Source organism: Homo sapiens, chromosome 6 (genome assembly GCF_000001405.40).
Source record: "Homo sapiens chromosome 6, GRCh38.p14 Primary Assembly".
Classification (NCBI taxonomy): Eukaryota; Metazoa; Chordata; class Mammalia; order Primates; family Hominidae; genus Homo; species Homo sapiens.
Genome location: NC_000006.12, coordinates 112,142,954 through 112,166,177, shown reverse-complemented (window position 1 = coordinate 112,166,177; position 23,224 = coordinate 112,142,954). Strand labels below are relative to the sequence as shown.

Genomic DNA, 23,224 nt, shown 5'->3' with positions numbered 1-23,224 from the left:
ATTAAGATGAACTTAAAAAGCTTTAAAGTATTTCCTTCTCTATCTAGGCTTCTATAATTATTTCTATGATATTCTAGATTACACTATAATGTATATTTCAACTCTGACTTGTTACTATTTCTAAGGTAACTTCAACTCATTTTTCACTCAAATTGTAAAATGAGTCTTTTACTTTTCCCTCCTAAAGTTTCTTTCTATGTTTCTTTCAAACTCTAAACTCATTGGAAGCCCCATAATATTTCTTCAGAATCACAATGTCCCTGCCTCTAGAACCTAAAAGTGATGGTAGAAATTAAAGTACTCATCAAGACATGTATTAGTATTTACTTTCCCTTCTCAAAACATCTGAGCATTTACAATAAAGAGCTCTGAGAGGTATGAAGCAAGATTAAAATTTGATGCTTTAATAGTAGGGCCATTTTTAATTTTTAAAAGGACATAATAAGATTATTTTTGTATATTCTCTGTTCCTGTCCAAATGGGCTGTTTGTGTCAGGCCCAAGGCTGGCACATGATAAATACTTTTTGAATTAATTCATATTCCAATCACTGCAAATATAGAGCCTGTGTTCAATCCTTTCTCCATAGTCCTCTTTTATATTCTGGGAAAAAGAGACAAATGCCCTCTCTAAGGCGCTAGCTCTCTTTGAAATGACGGTGTTATAATAATCCTCCGTATGTCTAATCTCCCAAGATTCTTACTGTTGTTATCTCTGTATTATAAATGAGAAAGCAGCATCAAACAGGTAGCATTCCCCAAAGGCACACAGCAAGGATGGAGCTGGGATATGAACCCAGATTTGTCTGAGTCCAAAGAGAGCAAGTTGACATTTACTGCTCTCCCCAACGCTTTCCCTAAAGACATATTCACTTCACTCTCCCTTACTCTTCCTTCCCGCAGAAACAACAGGAAAGAGTGAGGGAACAAATGGAAGTGGTGAACATGTCTCTGAGCACATCTGCGGACTCTCTGACAACACCTCGTCTAACTCTTTCAGAACTTGATGATATAATAAAGGTAAGGACGCACGTGACTTGTTCAGGTTTGTATTTCCAGCAGGTTACAACAGCAGCTCAGTGTCACAGAATAATAATAAATTCATATCTAACCAGTGAGCAGGCATTATAAAGATCAGATGACTGAATGTTTTAGTTTCTTGCACTGTACGATGACCACCAGCCACATATGACTACTTAAATTTAAATTACTTAAAATTAAATAAAATTAAAATTTTAATTCTTCAGTCACATTAGCCACTTTTCAAGTCCTCAGCAGCCACATAGCTAGCAGCTACTATATTCAGTGGCACAAGCATTGTGCAGAAACAGGCATTGCGCCACTGAATATAGTGGAACTTCTTGCAGAGAGTTCTATTGAAAATGCTGCTCTCGATCCATCCTACTCACTCTTCACTCATAAAGTTGTGTTTGATAAATCTGGCATTCAAAATCAATAAAAGTCACATTTTGTAAAAGTAGAAAATTTCCAATAAAATGCAGTGAACTGAACTATCATGAAATTACTCTTAGTTCATTTTATTACCTTTCGAAAGATATCACTTTAAGGTCATTTGATTGTCCGTTGACTATTTCAGCACCAAACTGTCTTTCTCTCCAAACTGACTCCCATCACTCTCCTTGGTGACAGCAAAATCCATATGGATGAAGTCACCGACTCTCTGACCTCCAGCTCCTTGAACTTGCCCTTTCCAGCAAGCTTATCCTCCAGTCCACCTCTGTTTTCCCACCTATGGCCATACCCAGATCTTGTCCTCAGTAACAGTACCTCCTCCCAAACCCTAGTTTCAAGCACCTCCCTCCCAGAGCACCATCTCCTATCTCACTTATTCTAGAATGCCCACTCCAGTAATTCTCTGGCCACATGGAGACCTCCCTGCCTTTTTTACCGTACCCCTCTCATGTCCTTTCTTCCCTCCTTAAGCAGCTCAAATTATCAAATATAATAATTCTTTCAAAATACCCTTAACTACCATATCTGCCTGTTCCTCTGTTGTACCTACCTGAGATTTCTGACTCATCCCCAGCACCATGGCCATACCAGAGCAGCTGCATGCGACTGGTGGGAACCCACTTCCCATGCTATCAGTTCTGCCTGGTGACTTGGCTTCCTGCTTTCTGAAAAATTAGAAACAAAGAGAAGAGAACTCCCTTCATCCTTCCTCCCCAGATCCGCCGGCCCGCCTGCATCTGTGCCCACACCTCTGCCTCCCCTCCGTTGTAAGCATTCCTTCTCCTGCCCGGCCTTGAAAACAGGTTGCAGGGTTTCACTCCTCAAGTTATGCCCTTTCTTCTGAATCATCCCGTTCTCATTCTTTACTTAATCATTACCATCAGCGTACAAACGTGCTGTACTATCTCCTATCTTTTAAATATCAAAAAGAAAAAAGCCCTGTAAAAAAATCTTTTATAAAGCTTGCATCCCCTCTAACTTCTGCCCTACCATTCTGCTCAGCTTCACAGCAAAATGTCTCGAGTGACTTATCATTGCTGTTTCTACCTCCCAGACTCCCACTGTCCCCTATACTCGGCCGTTTCTGAAGGGGGTTCCATCCCCTTCACTGAGACTGTTCCTGTCCAGGTCACCAGCGACCCGCCTGTCTCTCCCGGGCTTTCTCAGCCCTCCCTCCTCTAAACACCAGGTGGCGCCCTTGTCCTGGCTGCTCTGGTACCGCTCATGGCCTCTACCCTGGCTAGCGGTTTCTTCCCAGCCCCCTTTGCTAGCCTCGCCTCTGCACACCCTCTAAGTGGTCAATATTTTAGGCTCTGCAGGCCACGTACAACCACTGTCTCTTATTTTTTTCTGGGTTTTGTTTGTTTTTAATTTTTTTTTACAACCGTTTAAATATGTAAGATATATTCTCAGCTCAACAGGCTTTGGTTTGGTGCAGTGGCTCACGCCTCTAATCCCAGCACTCTGGGAGGCCAAGGTGGGGGAAAGTGCTTGAACCCAGGAGTTCAAGACCAGCCTGGGAAACATAGTGAGACCCCCTCTCTACAAAAAAGAAAATTTTTTTTTAAATAGCTAGGCGTGGTGGTGCATGCCTACAGTCCCAGCTGCTCAGGAGGCTGAGATGGGAGGATCACTTGAGCCCGGGAAGTGCAGGCTGCAGTGAGCCGTGATGGTGCCTCTGCACTCCAGCCTGGGTGACAAGGTGAGACCCTGTCTCAAAAAAAAAAAAAAAAAAAAAAAAGATTTGAGCTGCACTTGACACTGGGCCATGTTGATCTCTGCTCTGGATAATGAATGGCTCTGTGCTTGGTCCTAGGCCTTCTTTTCTACCTATACTCTCTCCCTAGCTGATCTCATTGACTCCCTTGGCTTTAAAGAACAATTACACACCAATGAATACACAATTATACCTCCAGCTATGACACCTCCACGGAGTTCCAAACTCCTATATCCGAGTGCTAACTTGACATTTTCAAGTCAGAACTCAGTACGACTGTAATAAAGTCACAGTCTCATCTATGATGTATTAATAATAGACATATCAAACTTGACATGTCTTAAATAAAACCCACTCCTTCCCCAGTCTTCTCCATCTCAATAAATGGCACAACCCAATTGCTCAAATCAAAACTCCAGAGTCACTACTGCTTTCTCCTTTCTCCTTATCTCTAAAATGAATCTTGATTTCTTTCTTTCTATTTTATTTTATTTATTTTTTTATTGTTATTTTTTTTGAGACGTGGCTTCATCCTTGTTGCCCAGGCTGGAGTGCAATGGAGTGATCTCGGCTCACTGCAACCTCTGCCTCCTGGGTTCAAGCAATTCTCCTGCCTCAGCCTCCCGAGTAGCTGGGATTACAGGCATCCACCACCATGCCCGGCTAATTTTTTGTATTTTTAGTAGAGATGGATTTTCACCATGTTGGCCAGGCTGGTCTCAAACTCCTGACCTCAGATGATCCACCTGCCTTGGCATCCCAGAGTGCTGGGATTACAGGCGTGAGCCACCACACCAGGCCTTGAATCTTGATTTCTGACCACTTTCCTTGTCTCTACTGCTGCTCTTTGGTCCAAGTCACCTCATCTACAGTTTAAATTGCCACCAGAGCCTCCTAGCTGATCCAACTGTCTCCACTCTTGTCCTTCAAGACATATTCTTTATGCAGTAGCAGAACAATCCTTTAAAAACATAACCAACATTATTTCTACTATAGACACTCCCCAGTGGCACTTAAAGTAAGAAACAAGCTCATTTTGTCATGGCCCATGAGACCCTACATGACCCAGCTCAGACCCACTTTTCTGACCACATACCCAACTCTTTTCTCACTCACTGCACTCCAGCCCAACAAACTCCTCTCTATTTTTCAAATATACCATACTTATTTCCTGCCTCAGGATTTCTGCACCTGCTGCCCTCAGATCTTCAAATGGCTGGTGTCCTTATGACCCTGACATCCAAATGAACCCCTTACCCCACTCACTCCTCATCCCACCCCACCTGTCATATGTTATTCAAAATATCTTTTACTCCCTGAAATTAGCTTGTTTGCTTGTTTGATCACTTGTTTATTACCTGTATCTCTCCCACTAAACTGTAAATTCCTTGAAAGTGGAGACTGTGTTCAAAGGTATTCTACCCCCAGAAGAGTTCCTGGTCCATAATGAGCACACAGGGAATATTTGTTGATGGAATGAATGAGTAAAAGTGGTATGTCCATGGTCTATTTTCCACTTATACAATTAAAAACATTTTTTTCAAAGTATTGTTCCCCAGATGACCAACCAAAATGGCTAGAGGTTTAATACTGCCTCCATAAAAGTAAACCCTTTGTACTACAAACCCTTTGTGCTACATTCTGGGATTACAAAAATAAGTTAAACTCAGTTCCTGCCTCCTAGGATTGTATGATGTGATGAGTTAAATAATCACTTAAAATTATTACAATCATTTGACACATGAATGAATAATAAAAACACATGGCAACACTTAACTCATCCTGAGGAGGTTAGGGATGGCCTCAAAAAGGAAGTGATATTTGAGCTGAATTTGAAAGGAGGAGTAGAGCTTTCCAGGTAGATTAGACAGAAAATAAAGGAAAATTATTCCAGAAAGGGAAAATATTTGCAGAGGTAAGAGACCAGAAAAAATTGTGGAGCATTAAAACAACAACCAGTTGGTCAAGATTAGACCATGGGATATAGCAGGTTGGGGGTCATGAGAATTGATGAAATTGGTGAGAGAAGAGCGGTCAGCTGATGATGTCATGCTTAGAAATTGGACTCATTCCTGCAAAGCAACTGGCTGATTCTGAGAAGGGAAATAACATGGTCAGATTTTCTTAATAGGAAGATTACCTTTCCTGCAAGACAGTGGAGAATGGATTAGAATACTCAAAGACTGCCCTCAGAGAAAGAAGTGAGATCACTCAGGGGAGAGGAAAGGGCTGGGAGTCAAATGCCAAGTTTCACGGTCTCTTTCTTGGTCAGGGAAAGAGGAGACCCAGGAGATAGCATAGTCACAGAAGCTAGGAAAAGAAAAGAGTTTTAAGCAAAGACAGTGGCCAACACTGTAGCAAACCACAGATGGGTCCAGTAAATAAGGATGGGAAAATGTCAAGTGGATCTGGAGATTTGGGGCCAGGTGTTGGTGATCTTGGCAAGAAACATTTCTGTAAAGTGCACTGTGTCAAAGCAAGAGAAAAAGCTAGAAGGGAGCCTAAAGTGAAAGAATAAGGTTTTTTGTTTGTTTGTTTGTTTGTTTTGTTTTTTGACGGGAGATACTTGAGCATGTTTATATCTGAGAAGAGTCAGTAGCTAGAAAGCAAGAATGAATAACGGGGTTACCAAGACAATGGGGCAGCATGCTTTATACAGAAAATGAACATTTTCCTCTTAAAATTGGAGAGAAATTTTTGTGTAGGTGTAGCTATAAATACATCTATAGAGTTTGCGGGGAAGGGCTGGGGGCTGGTTGCAAAAAGCTGGGGAAATACCTGTTCATTGGTTTTGGAGTCTCTGAGGGAGTTAACCAATAAATAGTGACCCTTTCCAGAACCCAAGTTCTAAACAGGTGGAAACATAAATAAAATAGTAAATACAGAGACCAAGGAGGTTGCCTTATTTCTGAAGCAGCTAAGCAGCAGGCATGGCTTTAGGTCTCTTAGCCAAGTGGGGTAGCTGACATTCAGTCCCAGTATTAAGCAGCTGTGCCCACCCAGACAGGCAACACCGTAAGGCTTAGATGGGGGTTCTGCCCAGAATAGTTTTAACATGGAGGAACACAGGAAAACTCAGGCTTTCTGCTGGCAGCTTGCTCCCAGGACAAAGAAGGGTGGAGTTGAGCAGAGCCTATAGAGTTATTCTTCCCAAATTTACCCACAAAATCAACCACTCCCCTCTCACAGGAGTAGAGTGAGGAAAGGGGTAGAGAGGTCTGGAGTTTCACTCACTGTGCTCCCTGCATATAAAGGAGACATCAGAAGTGTGGAAGAAGTGTCCCCCACTAACAGTTTATGACCTCCAAATAAAAAAGAAAATAAAGTGATCTGTTTACAATCAGATGGGGGTGGGTGAAGGAAATGTTGGCTTAGGAATCATGACAATGTTTAGAATCACTATTTGGGTGACTAGGAGAACAAATCTCTTTGCAGCATTGAGGGGCCAGCCAAGGCTGAAACTCACGGGTTTGCAGGAACATCCGTCTACACAGTTGCACGATCTTTAAGCAAAATCGTAGGTCTGTGGTTGTATTAAAAACCAAGAGAGCCTGTGTTACAAGGTGATTTTTAGGAAGTAGTCAGTCACCTGAAAGGTAACTGAAAGGTCAGATGAAAACTGAATGATGTCCATTAGATTTAGTAACTTAGATGTAATTAACTTCTCTTTTGGTAGAGTAATGGAGTAGAAATCAGACAGGACTAGGTCAAAATAGGAAATATAAAGTGAGAGAAAATAGAGACAACATATATAAACAACTTCCATTTTTTGAAATATGTTGCTATGAAGAGAGCAGAAAAGTATTGTAGTAACATTAGGGACATGTGTGGATAATTGAAGGTTTTAGTTTAGTTTTAGTTTTTAGGTCTGAAATGGTAGAGCATTTCTGGGTTGTGAATGCTAGCTAGGGAAGCAATCAATACAGAAGAAAGAGCTGGCAATGCGGGATAAATAGACATATACTTACAGTATTTTAGACTTATGTGGTCCTGCACTGAAATTTACTGACCTTCATAATAAGAAAGAACAGAGATTATCTTTTGGTGCCTAGGAAAAATGTTTTAAGTTCTTCTAAATTCAATGTATTTATTAAAATTTTTTTCTTTAGAATGCGTCAGGGATTTATGCAGAAATAGATGGAGCCAAAAGTGAACTACAAGTAAAACTATCTAACCTAAGTAACCTCAGCCATGATTTAGTCCAAGAAGCTATTGACCATGCACAGGACCTTCAACAAGAAGCTAATGAATTGAGCAGGTAATATCCTGGTTTTAGAAATGCAAATATCTACATGGGGTGAATAAAATATTACTATTCAATTCCATATGTCAGAACTACTGGGATACAATTTTACCAGGTTGATTAAGGTTGGGTATGCTTATGTGTTGATATGTTGGTTGGTTGGTTGGTTCCTTGGTTGCTTGGTTGGTTGGTTGGTTGGTTGGTTGTTCCATCTGAGAGTCCATCATTGTTCATTGCAATTGTTTGGGGGAGCTGGTCTTTTTTATTTAAAAAAAATCTGTCATATTAAAGGTCTGTGTTCCGGGAAGAGGGGGGTGTCTGTTCCACAATTTTTAGTAGGATGACCAAAGACAATGTATAAAACATTGTCAAATAAATCAGATCCCTTTAGAAGGTCTAATTCTAACATTACCTATTTATTTCATAGACAGCATTATCTTTCCACACCCAAGTGTCTTAAGTAAAACTGGTCGGGAATTGGCAATATAACTGACTTCTGATAAATACTCCACAGTGCCCAGCAGGAACTATTTGATTTCAACACCTGTTAAGAGAAAATCAATTGGCAATTTTCCTCCCAGCACCTAGAATAGAATCACACACCTCTTGGACACTCAATTAATGTTAACTGAAAAGTACTGAAAGATCAGAATTGAATTCATGACCCTGAAATAATAGGCAAATAATGAGATCATTATAGAGAAAGACTAGGAAAAAAGGACCAGTAAAGGTCATTAATAAAATAAGAACCAATATTAACTTCTGTTCAAAATATAAATCACCTTCTTATTCTTGATTGCCAAAATTTTCAAACACTCTTCCAAATCTCCTACGAAGAGAGAAGAAAAGAAAGAGAGAGGTCATATAAAATCTTGGTGTGTCAGTGGGTGAGACAGTGCCATATCCCACTCGGTATCATGGCCCTAGAAACATGAGCTTTTGATGAAGGCAATAAAATGGAGCTTAGAAAAAACACTATTTTGATAATATACTATATTAGCAGAATGTTGTTTTTGAGATCCATCTTATGGCTCTCTTCATTATTCTTTTGTCATTTTGTACCTACATCCCATTCATTGGGATTCCAAAATATAACTTCTGTGTATAATGCCACTCTGCAACAAACAGTGTTCCAGCATGATTCTAAGACAGTTACTACATGCTTTACGTGAAACATGATCCAAAATATCAATCACCCTCAAGTCCTTTTGTATTTAGAATATTTCTGACTATATATTCATGAAAGCATTTCAACTTAGAGACATCTTCATTCAAAAGGTGAGTATCCTTCCATATCTGTCTGGTGTACACAATGATTTACGTGCTATGCTCGAACAAAGATAAACAAAATTCATTAAGAAGCTTCCATTTCAATAGCACATGTTTAATTTGAATACTGAGTTAGTACTTGTTCTGTGCCTAGTATTAAAAGCAAAGTAATAAAGGCTTTGTTTCATGATCTTTGGTACATCTTACCACTCTCGCCAGCAAAATTTTAAAATATTAATAAATATTTGTAACATTTTGTTTCTTTTGTCCCTTTTTTAAAAAATGTTTTCTTGTCTGCCTTCCCCAGATTTTGCTATCTGAGGCCATTTTCTCAGAAGGGGTTGTGGGGAGGAACAGGTAGTGAGTATTTAGATTAGACTCCCCTCTGTAGAGCAGAGCCCCATGACTTCTATAGGCCCTAGACACTTTTGCCTTGGTGGGTTCCTTTCTCCATAGAAAAAGTAAAACCTTTATTTCATGTCTGCATTGGTATAAAGATTAATACCATTATTATTGTTATCCTCATTTTTTCCTTCTGATTGAAAAAAAAATGAAAACGCTGTGCCTAATGGATGAGTCAGCCCTTTTGTAGAGGGGGTAGAATGATTATAGACTTGGTTAACAGAGAGGGAAGTAGCCAAAGAAATATAGAGAAAGTCCCTCTAAGGGAGCACACAGGGACTGGAACTGGATGCTGGAGATTGAGGAACAATTACCGAGCTCAACAGGTCAGGCGGTTTGAAGACAGGAGCCAGTGTGGGATCTGCAATGTCATATACTGGGTCACGGAGGACCTTCTGGAAGTTACTGACAAATGAGGTGATGATACTAATCATCGATGTTTGGGACTGAGAAAAAAAAATAAGGAATTGGTGGATTTAAGACTGAATAAAATTAAGACAAAGGATTTAGACGAACTGCGGAAGTGGAGGTTAGAGTTTATATTACAGAGGCAGTAGAAGTATTTGTCAATAAAATAAATTATGCGGGTACACATAGAGTTTTAAAATCCCAATTCAGGAAATGGTGTAGGTATAATAATAAACCCTGACGATTAGCAGATGCCAGGCATGGTATACCAAGCATTTCTATATTTTATTCCTGTTATATCTCACATTATTAGCCCCTGTGTGCAAGTGTGCAAGTACCCTGTGTGATGGGTACTCAGTAAATGTTGGATGAACCTTACACAGGCCAGAGAGGGGCAAAGGCAGAGACTATCGTGTGAAAGGGCAGGGGTGAGGGTGGGCTGAGGTGGGGCTGTGTGCTGAGGAAGGGCTGGGGCTGTCTCACTCCTGAGGCCCAGGATGCAGCCAGGCCTCAGGAGTGAAACAAACCTTGACAATACGTGCCCTGGCCAAGCTCTGCATACTCTCCTAGAGCCTTGGCTTCCTCTACAGAAAGGAAATAACAATGCTGATTTGGATAAGCACTAGGTAGTCATCATAATGGTTCATTCCTCTGCCTGACTTCCATCACATAAACAAACTCCTGCAAGAAGAAGTGCAGAGGGCTGTTTTTAAATCGTCATTCCCTTTTCCTGCTGCTACTGCCAGACAGGCAGCTGTCAGAGAACCAAAATGCTGTTCAGCAAAGACAGAAGAATGCAGAGGAGGTGTGACCCTCAAGAAAACCTTGCCACACTAGGTGACTTTGAATAACAGGAAGGAAGCATCTGTGATCCTAGAAGTATTTAAAAAGCAAGCATTAAACATGGCCCCATTCCCCAAGAAGGTAAGAAGGAGAAATAACAATGTTTGTTTATTAACAGGAAGTTGCACAGTTCAGATATGAACGGGCTGGTACAGAAGGCTTTGGATGCATCAAATGTCTATGAAAATATTGTTAATTATGTTAGTGAAGCCAATGAAACAGCAGAATTTGCTTTGAACACCACTGACCGAATTTATGATGTGAGTATTCCCTGAAAGTTCTTTATACCTTGCCTTTCCCACTGGCTTTTCTGTTTTCTGATGTCATCTCTTGAACTTCCAGTGTGAAATCCAAATGGCAGAAAGAGTGGAAAAGGCAGGGGAACTAAGGGAAGACCATTTCATGAATGCCTTGAAGGTTTCAGTCTGCAGATTCTTCGAGATGTGCTGTAGTCCAGTCAGCAAATGCCAGTTCCTTTGACAGTTTATTTTTTTAGCCAAAGTCCCTGAAAAAAAAAATATGTATTTAAAATTAGTTCTTGCTGATAGAGAAGATACTTTATGCATTCATTTATATTTTTTTCAACTCAAAATTATTTATTGTGTGGCTTCTATGTGGCAAGCACTTTGGTGGGGCCTTGGCCAGGGCTTTGTTCTAGGTTCACTGAATCTTTCCCAAAAAAACATTACCTTGAAAATGCCAAAGGCATTACTTCCTCATGGTCACATATTTGACCTTAATTTTAAGCTGTGAAAATAAAGCTAAATGCATTTTGCTTGGTGTTTAGCAGATAAACTGTGTCATTTAAATCCTTCAACTATGAATAGCTGATTTCTTCTGCTGTCATTTTTACCCTCTTCTCTCAATTCCTTTGTAGGCGGTGAGTGGGATTGATACTCAAATCATTTACCATAAAGATGAAAGTGAGAACCTCCTCAATCAAGCCAGAGAACTGCAAGCAAAGGCAGAGTCTAGTAAATATCTTCACTTTCCTATCTCCTTTCTAATTTATAGCTGCTTCCCTCCTTTCATACACGTAGACAGAGATTTCCAAATCTAGGATTAAAGAATAGTATTATAACTACATAACATATCAGTAGTTCCTGCTCAGAGTCAAGTTACAAAAGAGCAAAGATTTGATACTTTAAATTGTGATTGAAAAAAAAAATGCTATGTAGTAAACTACATGGAAACACATAGCTATCTCACATACTGTGGCTATTCCTGCTAATCAAATAGGCTGATTAATAGAAACTTACCATAAATACCAATTTTTAGGGGAAAAATGTCCTAAAATACACTTAACACTAAAACTATATTGCACAAAATTTCCTCTTTCTTGAACAATTTCGAAGTCCTTTTAAAATGTTTCCCATGAAGGAACGAGTCATCACTGTGAGTCAATTAGGATGACAGGGTACCACAAAGCCATCTGGTTATTTGCTTTTCTTTTTTTTTTTTTTTTTTGTAGTTTGTGTTCTACATAGGTTACTGTATTTAGGACAGACCTAACAAGCATATGGTAAGAAGCATTTCCAAAGGCCAGTGTTTGCATCTGCTGAAGTGTGCACATCCAAGGGTGAGGGAGGGAAGGAAAAATAAAAGCAAAATCGCATTAGACAATTTTGAATCTTGTGAGTTACTCTTAAAAACAATCGAATGGACTAAGAAATTCACTAAACATTATTCATCTCTGAGATAATGAACTAATTCCCAAGGATTTTTGAACATTGACTAATGAGGTTGGAAATTCATCATCTAGCGAACTTCTAACTGCCACCTAAAAACAAAGGCCAAGTTTGAAACTAAAAACCTCACCCAATTTTGTTGAAGTAATTAATCTCATTTAATCATGCATTTTCTTTATCTTTTGCAAAGAGCCATTACACAGAGAAGATAAATGCACTTTGCTTTTCATACACAGATACTTATTTATTTCCCATAAAACAACTGTTATTTTATTTTTCTGGGCAAACAAAGGCAATAAAAAGTGTCATTGTTTCTCTAGTCTAATTATTATATGTCTAATTAATTTATTATGTAAGTCTATCCTGAACATACTCTATGGATTAGAATATCAGTAGTGAAGAATTAGAATATTAACAGTAAAATATTTTAAAATAAATGTTGCTATATCTATGTATTGCTTTTGTTTCTTGTGAAGATCAGAATGTGTCAGTCTTCATGACACAGTGACTTAAATATTTTATTCTTTTTGATAACTTGTAATATATTCTCTCAGTCTTGTCATTATTGAGTTATTGAACCTCATAAAAGCAACTTTTCTATTTTAAATTTAACCATTAATCGATCCCTACCCACATCCCTTCAAAGTTCCATATTTTATGTCTGATAAATCTCTCTGCATTAGCCTGTTTGAATATTTTGCAGACCTGTTCACCTATTTCATGATCTCATTTGGCCAAATCCCTTTCTGTATTTATTTGCAAAAGGAACAACAACAGGGAGTTAGTACTGTGTGGCTTAGAACTTTATAGGACTGTCTTCCTTTGATAATACACACATTTGTGATGTACATTCAGGTTTTCAAATTAAACCATAGTCATCTACTGAATTACATTATAATTTCAGATTACATTTCTCCATTCCAAATTCCTTTCAATGATCAGTAATCTTTATTTCCCAAATTTCCTTTTCATTATATATCAAATAGTTGATAGTCAATATAATCTCAGGAAGCTGCTATTTAAATGAATCTTCTACTTAACTCATTTGCAAAATGAAAAGTATTTATGCAAGTCAGTAAATTCCAAATAGAACACACTTCTTATGAAACATTTCTTCTTATAAACATCAAGCCCAAAATTGATTTTCTTCCTCCTCTTTTTATCAAGTGCTCCAAATATAGAGTTAAATATATTCTTTCTCAGTATATCAGGTAGTATTTTTTTTTGTTTTTGCAGTCATGAGACCCAAAATAAGAGCTAAAACATTGTTTGTATTATAATGTTTGGGAATTGAAATTAGAAAAGAGGAAGGAGGCAGGGTGCAATGCAAATTCTTCACACTACCCAGAGAAAATATGAAAGAAGTGCTTGTATTTGGTTAACTGTACTTCATGACACCACCACCCATTATACACATATCTGGGGGGGAAAGATAACATTAAACCAATCACATCAAGACTACCTAATAGAACAGCAAAGGGGTGCCGTCAGAGAGTGTATATTTACAATCCCATTGGAGAGAAAGAGAAAAGTGTAATTAGAAGTGATAAAACTATTTTTCTGTTTGTTAAGAAACAAAATTCTCAGTGCTTTGGAATTAAAGCACAAACAGAAATGAAGAATTACTGGCAAAGTTGATCCTTTAGTTCAGATGATGAGGTAATTACATCATGATCTGTTGGGATTTGCTCAAAGATAACCAGTCTAGTGACTGTGCCACAAGTGTGCTTTCAAGAACAATTTTATAAGCAAAAGACTCTCAAAACTGATGCAAATACAAAATCTGATAGAACTGTATGTACATACATATGTATAATAAATTTAACCACTAATCGATCCCTACCCACAAAGAAATCTCAAGGCTCAGATGGCTGCCCCAGTGAATTCTTAAACATTTAAAGAAGAAATAACACCACTTTTATACGAGCTCTTCTAGAAAATAGAAAACAAGAAAGCACTCTGGAACTTGTTTTATGAAGCCAGCAAAACTTGGTTACTTGAATCACATAAGGATATTATTAAAAAGGAAAATTATAAGCCAAATTCTCTCACAAAAAGAGATGCAAAAATTCTAATCAATATATTAGCAAATCAAATCTAGCACACCTATAAAGTGCAATATATGATGACCAATTTGAGTTTATTTTAGGATTTCAAGAATAGTTTAACATTTAAAAAATCAATTGTAATTTGTCACATTTATAGGATATAGGAGAAATTCATATGATCATCTCACTACATGCAGAAAAATTATTTAACAAACTTGACTTTTAAAAAAGATTTTTGACTTTTAAAAAAGACTTTCGGCAAACTGAGAATAGAAGGAAACTTCCATAATCTGAAAAATAAAATAATATTCAGCAATTAAAATGGAAATATTGAATGCTTTTCCACTAATATTAGAAACAATACAAGGACACCCTACATTACCAATTCAATGTGTAAAAATCCGATTTAATTTTACATACGACATTGGGAAATTAACTTTTAAAAATAACAGTGTTTGCAATAGCATCAAATACATAGGAATAAATCTGATAAAAGAAGCTAAGGTTGCTACGCATAAAGATCTAAATAAATGAAGATCTAAACAAGAATTTATATATAAATGATAAATAAATACCATATTCATTGAGTAGAAGATTAAAATGTGTAAAAATGACAATTCTCCCAAATTCATCTACAGATTTAATTCAGTATTAATTAAAGTACCTGAACTGAATATTCTAGAATTTATATGGAAATGAGAGGGGAAAGCCAAGAATAGCCAAGACTGTCTTGAAGAATAAAAACAAAGCTGGAAGACAAACTACATTATCAAGGTGTATTATAGCTCTATATAGTAATAATTAAGACAGATATAAAAGATTATAATACCATATCCTCACTTGAATAATGTTTAAAAACAGACACAAACAGATGGAGATAGAATTCAAAAAAGTGATTATCTTTGGGTTATCACAGGGGCTCTAGGGAGCTTCAAAGGTGGTAATAAGTTTCTATTTTCTTGACTTGGATGCCGGTTATGTTTTGTGTTCATTTTGTGAACATTTTTGTCAAGCTGTGCATTTATAAAGGGTGCCTTTTTCTAGATGTATGTTATATTGCAATTAAAATTTTATTGAAACAAATAAGAAAACAAGGATTATTTTTATAACCAGTCGTTATCACATATATGTAGAGAGAGAGAGATTTTTTTCTTTTCAGCTCTTTAACAATTGTGCTGCTTGGTGTTATTAGTCATGGCAGGGCTATATGTTTCAATCAAAGAAAGTAACCATGATGGCATCCTAAGTCACTCACAAGCAGTATTACAAGTGTTCTGCAATTCTGTACCTCGAATTTTAAATGCTACTTTCCAGAATTGTTGATCTATGTTCAGAGTATTCAGAATACTGCAAATACTGCAGATGACTGCATCGTACAAATGAGAAGTTTCCTTGTTGAAATGGAATCCTTTTCGAGGCATCTTGGCTCCACTAGTACTTCTTTCTGCTGCTCTTCCACAGGCAGTGATGAAGCAGTGGCTGACACTAGCAGGCGTGTGGGTGGAGCCCTAGCAAGGAAAAGTGCCCTTAAAACCAGACTCAGTGATGCCGTTAAGCAACTACAAGCAGCAGAGAGAGGTAAGCATCAGAGAGAATTGAAGTCTCATCTGTTGATTCACTGGAGTGTAAGGTAAACCTTCAAGGAAGGATTAGGTAATTCTTTGTTTGTCAATGATTTTATACATAAATGTTATTTTCTGATGACAAAATACGTTCATCACAAAAAAAAGTTCTAGAAAACAAAAAGAAGAAACTAAATATAAATGCTGTAATCACACCACGTAGAGGTGACCTTTAGATTTGAGAGCCTTTTTTTCCAGCATTGCCTCTGTGTGTGTGTGTCTGTGTGTGTCTGTGTGTGTGTGTGTGTGTGTGTGTGTGTGTGTCTTTTAATGGGATCATGCTGTTTATAGTGTTTGGTAATGGCTTTCTTATGAACATCCTTCCTCATAACAATATGCCCTAATTTGGTTATTGGATTTCTTTGGCCCAGCTGTAAACAGCTTCCCTCTGTTACATGTCAAGTCATTCTTACCATATAAGCAACAGGCCCAGAGACCAAATAGAAACCAGGGAGACCAACAAGCCCAAATAGAGAAACAAAAGCACACGTTTTGCTTAATCTGGGACTGCAGTGGTATCTTAGATAGATGTGATTGGAAGCAGATGTGCCTTCCTTCGCGCAGTGAAAGTTAAAAAACTAGTGCAGCATATGGGTGTTTTACTAGAATGAGCAAATCCTAGCTACAGTGCTACAGTGCACCAAAGCTCTGGCCAGGAGAGTGGTCCTTCATGGAGAAGCCTCATCATCACCGTCATCAGAATGACTGTTTATTGATGCTTAGTGTGAGCTGGGCATTGTCCTAAGTGTTCAACATAGCTGTATTAGTCCGTTCTCACGCTGCTATGAAGAAATAGCCAACACTGGGTAATTTATAAGAAAAGAGGTTTAATTGACTAACAGTTCTGCATGGCTGGGGAGGCCTCAGGAAAACTACAGTCATGGCAGAAAGCACCTCTTTACAGGGTGACAGGAGAGAGAATGATTGCTGAGCAAAGGGGAAATGCCAGACACTTATAAAACCACGAGATCTCATGAGAACTCACTATCACAAGAATAGCATGGGGAAAACTGTCCCCATGATCCAATTATTTCCCACCCATCCCTCCCATGACACATGGGGATTATGGAAGATTACAATTCAAGATGAGATTTGGGTGGGAACACAGCCAACCATATTAATACTTTATGTCATGGGGATAAGTACCACTACTGCCTTCAGGCTGATATGAACCCTGAGGTTCATGAAGGTTAGGGAACTTGCTGCAACAGGCACAGCCAGTAAGAAGCAGATTCAGGATTGAAACTAGCATTTATCAGAATCCAGAATATGTGAGGCTAAATGAAATATATCCTCACTTTAATAAATTATTTATTATTTATATATTATTAAATTAAGTATTATTTTTATAATAAAAATAATTATAATTCACTTAGGTGATGGTATAACTTCAAATTTATAATTGTTTTACAGTTCTAATTACATTACAGTTGGGGCCAAAGAAATCCAATAACCAAATTAGGTCATATAACCAATCCAATAACCAAATTAGGGCACAACTTCAAATTTATAAAATTTGAAGTTATAAAGTCACCTAAATGAATTATAATTATTTTTATAAAAATAATAAATAATTCTCATAGAAATATTAGAAAATGCAGATAAGAAAAAAAGAAGAAAATCACCTATAATCCCATCCCCTAGACAAAATTTTTTGTTGTAAATTTACATCATGGTTATTTTAAAGATGTAATTTTTAACAAAAATGGGAATTCACTACTAAAACTCTTTGAAATTTGCTTTTTTTCTATTAAAAAAATATCTTTCTTTATTGATTAACTTCTATAGAATCATTTTTATGGCAGAAGTGTTCCACAAGCCTACTTTTTCATAAAAGACAGTGATATTTGCAATTAATTTCAGACACAAACCTCTTATGAGTTAAAATCTCATGTGCATTTTCTATGGCTTTCTTACCAGGTTATAGGAAATACAATTACTCTTCTTTTTAAATTTACCTCTTAATTTGGAAATGTTTTCGGTGAGCCACATGGTTATCCAAAAATCTTACTTTTGCTTAAGAGCCCAAAATGTGAGATCTGTTTCATTCAAGGGTTAAAGGGGTGTTAATGTTCCCCAACAAATATCCGGCTTCTCTGCAAAGTGAATGACCCTGTGCTCTGTGTAAAGGGGATGCCCAGCAGCGCCTGGGGCAGTCTAGACTGATCACCGAGGAAGCCAACAGGACGACGATGGAGGTGCAGCAGGCCACTGCCCCCATGGCCAACAATCTAACCAACTGGTCACAGAATCTTCAACATTTTGACTCTTCTGCTTACAACACTGCAGTGAACTCTGCTAGGGATGCAGGTATCACTTAGAAATTTCACAATTTGAATCTAATTAAGGAATTGGCCATTAAACTCTATACATCTTTTGTCAAAAAACAGTTTTCTTCATTTGGGTTTTGGATTCGAAAATTATAGAAGTTAGCTTAGAAAAAGAAAAGCTTTTGCACTGTTCATCTATCTATCTATCTATACCTGTCTAAATACATATGAGAAACATACATATATTTCGTATGAACACTAGATGGATTGGTAAAGAGTCATAATTTTTTCTATGTGAAATTATGGTAGCAATTGTATCAACGTAAGACTTATCTTTTAGGGAACAAGGTTAATCAAATGTTGGGTAAATAATCTTAACAAAATACTGCTTAGCTTTTAGAAAAAAAATTACTAAATGGCATTGCTTCTACTAGGCAACATTGCTTTTTCTTTATCTGAGTAATTAGGTTATTACCAACAAGTACTGAATATGGCCAAACATAACTCCAGCTTTCTATTAAGAACAGCGTGTTGGCCAACTTGAATATACAGTTCTATAGAAATGAAAATGAAATATTTTCATGTCTACCTAACTTATTTTGTAGATATTAGAACCAGGCAGTACTTGTGAAATTTCGCTTTTTCCATTCTCACATTTTTATCCAATCCCTTCATAACTTCTTAAACAGCAATGTCTGTCAATATCATGACAAATCATGACTAGAACTTTTTGTTCTCCAATATGGTTTTGCAAACAATACTACCTTCACTTGTATCTGAATTAAGAAAGGTCATAAATCCATATATGATCTGTCAGTACAAATTTTATTCCAATTTACAAATACCCATTCCCATAACAGTAAAATAGCTCTTTTATAATGATCTTTTAAGTATATATTCATTTCTTCCATGTAACCACTCAAGGAAGTGCTTTTAAAATTTTGTCTTTAAAAGATTTGCCTATATGAAATTCAATTATTACATTTATAATGATATTGCCTCGGGAATATGTACCAAATCTGTTACATTTTTTTCCCATTTTTTACCAGTCTTATCAAGTGATTCCAATAAGCATCCAGAAGTTTCAAAAAATTGAAATTGTTTACTGTGCTTTTCTCAAATAGCATTTTGTGGTTCAAAACAAAGGAAATGAAAGAGGATACCATAATGTAAGACACTTTATAAGTACTCTAATATAAGGTGGCTCCCTTTTTCTAAGAGAATTGATTGTAGGGAGCAGGGGGACTCTGTCTTATAAACATTTCCATAATCAATATCTAACATAATTCATTAAGTATATTATCTCTAGTTTTTAAAGACTAGTATACTCTAAAATAAATGTCGTTGTCAGTGATCCAAACAATAAATATTTACCTCTGTATTAATCAATATAATAAACTGATAGTTGCTATTATTTTACTTAATTCTATTCCTTGCACTGGAGAAACATCGTGTGTCCTAAGTACAGAGAAGGGATGTTTCCTTGATCTGCACTGACATAGTCTCCTGAATGTGAGTTTAGTTTTTCTCTAGGAAGACGCTTGCTCTTGCCCAGCTACTAATGCTTAATGACCATGGCCCTGCCCTTAGGAAAGAGAATACCTCAAAAGTATTTCGTCTCTGAGCCAATGGTTCTCAAATACTAGTGTGCATTAGAATCACCTGGAGGCCTTGTTAAACAGACTGCTGGATCCCACTCCAGGAACTGCTGATTCAGTGGGCTCGGGACAGGGCCAAGAACTTGCATTTCTGACAAGTTCCTGGTGATGCTGCTGCTGCTTGTCTGGGAACCACACTTTAAGAACCACTGTTCAGTCAATGAAACTCTGGAAAAATTTATGCCATTCTCTTTGTTTTGAGTTTCTCTCATCAAGCTGTATTCTTATGACTGGTGCTTTTTTTTTTTTGAGACATAGTCTCGCTCTGTCGCCCCGGCTGGAGTGCAGTGGTGCGATCTTGGCCCATTGCAACCTCTGCCTCTCGGGTTCAAGCGATTCTCCCGCCTCAGCCTCCCGAGTAGCTGGGATTACAGGCGTGCACCACCATACCTGGATAATTTTTGCATTTTTAGTAGAGATGGGGTTTTGCCATGTTGGCCAGGCTGGTCTCAACCTCCTGACCTCAGGTGATCCACCAGCCTTGGCCTCCCAAAGTTCTGGGATTACAGGTGTGAGCCATCAAGCCCATCTGACTTGCGCTCTTTTCTATGTTTAGAAAACATAGAAGAGGAAGAAAACATAGAAAAGGAAAAAAGGTGGAAAACAATCTTCCTACCTTTTTTCCCAGTATTCCTCTTGACCTGTTATATCAGTTATATTAGAAATGCAAGCAGAACCTGTGCTATATGGTTAAAGGAACATTTGTATATATACCGTGGTCCCTGCCCTTTAGAAAAAGCCTGCTCTAGATACAATTTTTAGATCAGTAAGTACTATAAATGTCACAAAAATAGAAACAAACTGTGCTTTGGGCTTTGTTAGGTCCACGACTATGCCAAATGTCATGCTCGGGGTCAGGTTCGAGCCCATACTGAGGTCTGAGTGGAGTGGGTGGGTGGCTGAAAGAACACTTGAGGGATGTAGACAGGTGAAATATAGTTCTGTTCAGCAGCTCTCTCATCAGAAGCTCTCTCACACTGCCTGCTCTGTCTCGGCTGCTTGCTCTGGCTGCTCCCACACACAGCTGAGCAGTCGGCTTGCTCTTGCCTTCAGGGTTAGCAGCTTAACTTTCTCTCTTTCCAGGTACAAGCCAGTTCCTGGCTCCCCCATGCCTACCTTCAAGGCAACTGGCTCTCCCCTACAGGGGTCAGTAGCGTTACTCTCTCTTTGGGCACCAGCACGCCTGAGCCATGTTGAGCCCTGGCTCTCCCTCTGTCCGTCTGCAAGACAGGCGGCCTTGGCATTCTCTCTTTCTCTGGGCGCAAGAGCACGCATCCTGTGCATGGCATCGGCAGGGCAGTTATACATTTTCAAACAATAGTGGCTGTGAGCCAAGTATGAGCTTACACAAACAGGTTATATAACAAATGGAGTATGCACCTGTGCCCTAAACTAGCTGAGTCCGTCTGGCCCAGATGTCTGCCTCAACCTATTCCCTGATCAAAGCACATCTGTGTACCTTACAGGTTTTACTATTAATTTTGCAGGATTAAAAATCATTTCTCTTAGTTCTACCATATGTAATCCATGTTTATTGTCTACATCTGATTCTTGAAATATAATATTGAGTTATTTTCTTAAATGATTAATTTTTATTAACTGCAGTAAGAAATCTGACCGAGGTTGTCCCTCAGCTCCTGGATCAGCTTCGTACGGTTGAGCAGAAGCGACCTGCAAGCAACGTTTCTGCCAGCATCCAGAGGATCCGAGAGCTCATTGCTCAGACCAGAAGTGTTGCCAGCAAGGTAACTGATGAAAAGACTCATCAGTCAGTCAGCGGTAATAATAACACGAAGCTGAGCTCCAACTGCTTGGGCAGCTTCCAGAGCCTGGACCTTTCTGCTGTATTCTCCAACTCAGTAGTTCTCAGCCCCATTTGCTAATTAGAAACACGTGAGGAACACTGAAAACGAAACCAATTCCTGGTCCCAACCTGAAAGCAATAGATCAGACTCTGTAGAGAAAGGGCTCAGTACCTGTATGTTCTTTAAAGCTCCCAGGTTATTCTAATGTGTAGCCAGGTTTAAAAACCACAGAGTTAAACTAGTCAATAAAGCTAATATAGCAAAAGAAGTAAAGCCTCAATAAAAGCCTCAATTCGTTCTTATATTTTATGTTATTTTAACAGCTGCTTTAGTGCAATTACCATAATGGAATAATCTATCCCATCTGTCCTACCCCTTCAAGAAATTATCTGGTACAACACAAATTATGCAGAAGCTTTTACTGACCACCCGCAGGGTTAACTGAGGAATCACATACTGGCTAAGAGGAATAAACTCAACAAACACACTATATGTGTTTTGGGACACATATAGAAGCAACTTAGCAGAAGATAACTAGGGCTGGCATTTGTAGGAACATCTCCTGACATAGCAATTACTTTTCAATGTGGCAAAGTGGAGCTTGTTCTTGGACCTCTTGAATTTTTTTAATTGATTCATAGACCAGACTCACTTTTTATGACCAAAGTATATGGTTTTATTTTCTCAGTTAAGAATCGGCCTGAGCAGACTACTGGTCCTAATTACTGACAGAAAGAAGAGTTAGAAATCAACTATTTCGTAATGTAGAAGATTATTCTTGGTAAATAGACCTGACTTTTAAATGATGATAAATGGTCCCTTGTGACAAATTACCTTATTTAGATGCCCCAGTGAACATTTTCAAAAAAGGTTTATCTAAAGGTACATCAAGAAATGGCATTCTAAAAGCTAGGTTTTTATGAGTGCTTTCTTGTAATATTATTTCTATAAAGAGTATGACTTTGGGACCTTAATCACCTAAGACCATTTGCTAAAGACAGACTTAGCCCCACCTTTGGGAGTTGGGAGCTCACTCAGTGCCCCCAAGTGGGATGCTTTTCATGCAGACATGCACTATTCTCAGACTCTCACTTATTAATGTAAGACTTTAATCCCCCACACTGCTTGTTTATTAAGATGTATTGGTCTTGGCCGGGTGCGGTGGCTCATGCCTGTAATCTCAGCACTTTGGGAGGCCAAGGTGGGCAGATCCCTTGAGTCCAGGAGTTTGAGACCAGCCTGGCCAACATGGCAAAACCCTGTCTCTACCAAAATACAAAAATTGGCTGGGCGTGGTGGCGCACACCTGTAGTCCCAGTTACTCAGGAGGCTGAGGCACGAGCATTGTTTGAACCTGGGAGATGGAGGTTGCAGTGAGCTGACATTGTGCTACTGCACTCCGGCCTGGGTGACAGTGAGACTGTGTCTCAAAAAAAAAAAAAAAAAAAAGTATTAGTTTTTACTCAACTGATAACATAGGACAGCTGCACTCCAGTCATTTGGAAATAGAGCCTTGAGCTCACTGACCACCCACATTAGCCAAATCAATATTAATAAATTAATATAAAGATGCCTAATCATTTGGAAAGATTCAGATAAATGACATAAGTATACACAATCCATACACTTGTAAATACTCTAAAAATTATCCCTGAATCAGACCAGCTCAGCATATCATATTGGGCCTCTTAGAAATGCACTTACTGAATTGTGCTTTGTTGTGATGCCTTTCTGTGAGCCATTATAAGAGGCACCTTATGAACTCATTATTACAGTTATT

The 23,224-nt window shown here is 38.2% G+C and overlaps 1 protein-coding gene and 1 long non-coding RNA gene across 10 annotated transcripts in view, besides 1 other annotated feature; one reads left to right on the top strand and one right to left on the bottom strand.

The window, feature by feature from the left end:
- LAMA4 (laminin subunit alpha 4) overlaps positions 1-23,224 on the top strand; it is a 147,055-nt gene that overhangs the window by 88,808 nt on the left and 35,023 nt on the right. For all 9 annotated transcript variants that reach the window (XM_047418770.1, XM_047418769.1, XM_017010854.3 and 6 more), the window contains exons 13-19: positions 902-1,018; positions 7,298-7,446; positions 10,472-10,613; positions 11,231-11,327; positions 15,551-15,667; positions 17,842-18,021; positions 21,245-21,384. In XM_047418770.1, coding sequence (XP_047274726.1) covers positions 902-1,018; positions 7,298-7,446; positions 10,472-10,613; positions 11,231-11,327; positions 15,551-15,667; positions 17,842-18,021; positions 21,245-21,384 — 942 coding nt within the window. The remainder of the gene's footprint in view (positions 1-901; positions 1,019-7,297; positions 7,447-10,471; positions 10,614-11,230; positions 11,328-15,550; positions 15,668-17,841; positions 18,022-21,244; positions 21,385-23,224) is intronic.
- Positions 2,537-2,586: an enhancer, noted in NCBI's record as "active region_24961". NCBI's record gives its function as "activates an Ori minimal core promoter by ATAC-STARR-seq in GM12878 lymphoblastoid cells {active_cell/tissue: GM12878}" and the evidence as "EXISTENCE:reporter gene assay evidence [ECO:0000049][PMID:35858748]".
- LOC107986633 (uncharacterized) overlaps positions 10,445-23,224 on the bottom strand; it is a 39,745-nt gene continuing 26,965 nt past the window's right edge. Inside the window, exon 2 of the long non-coding RNA XR_001744299.2 lies at positions 10,445-10,858. This is a non-coding gene — a long non-coding RNA (uncharacterized LOC107986633). The remainder of the gene's footprint in view (positions 10,859-23,224) is intronic.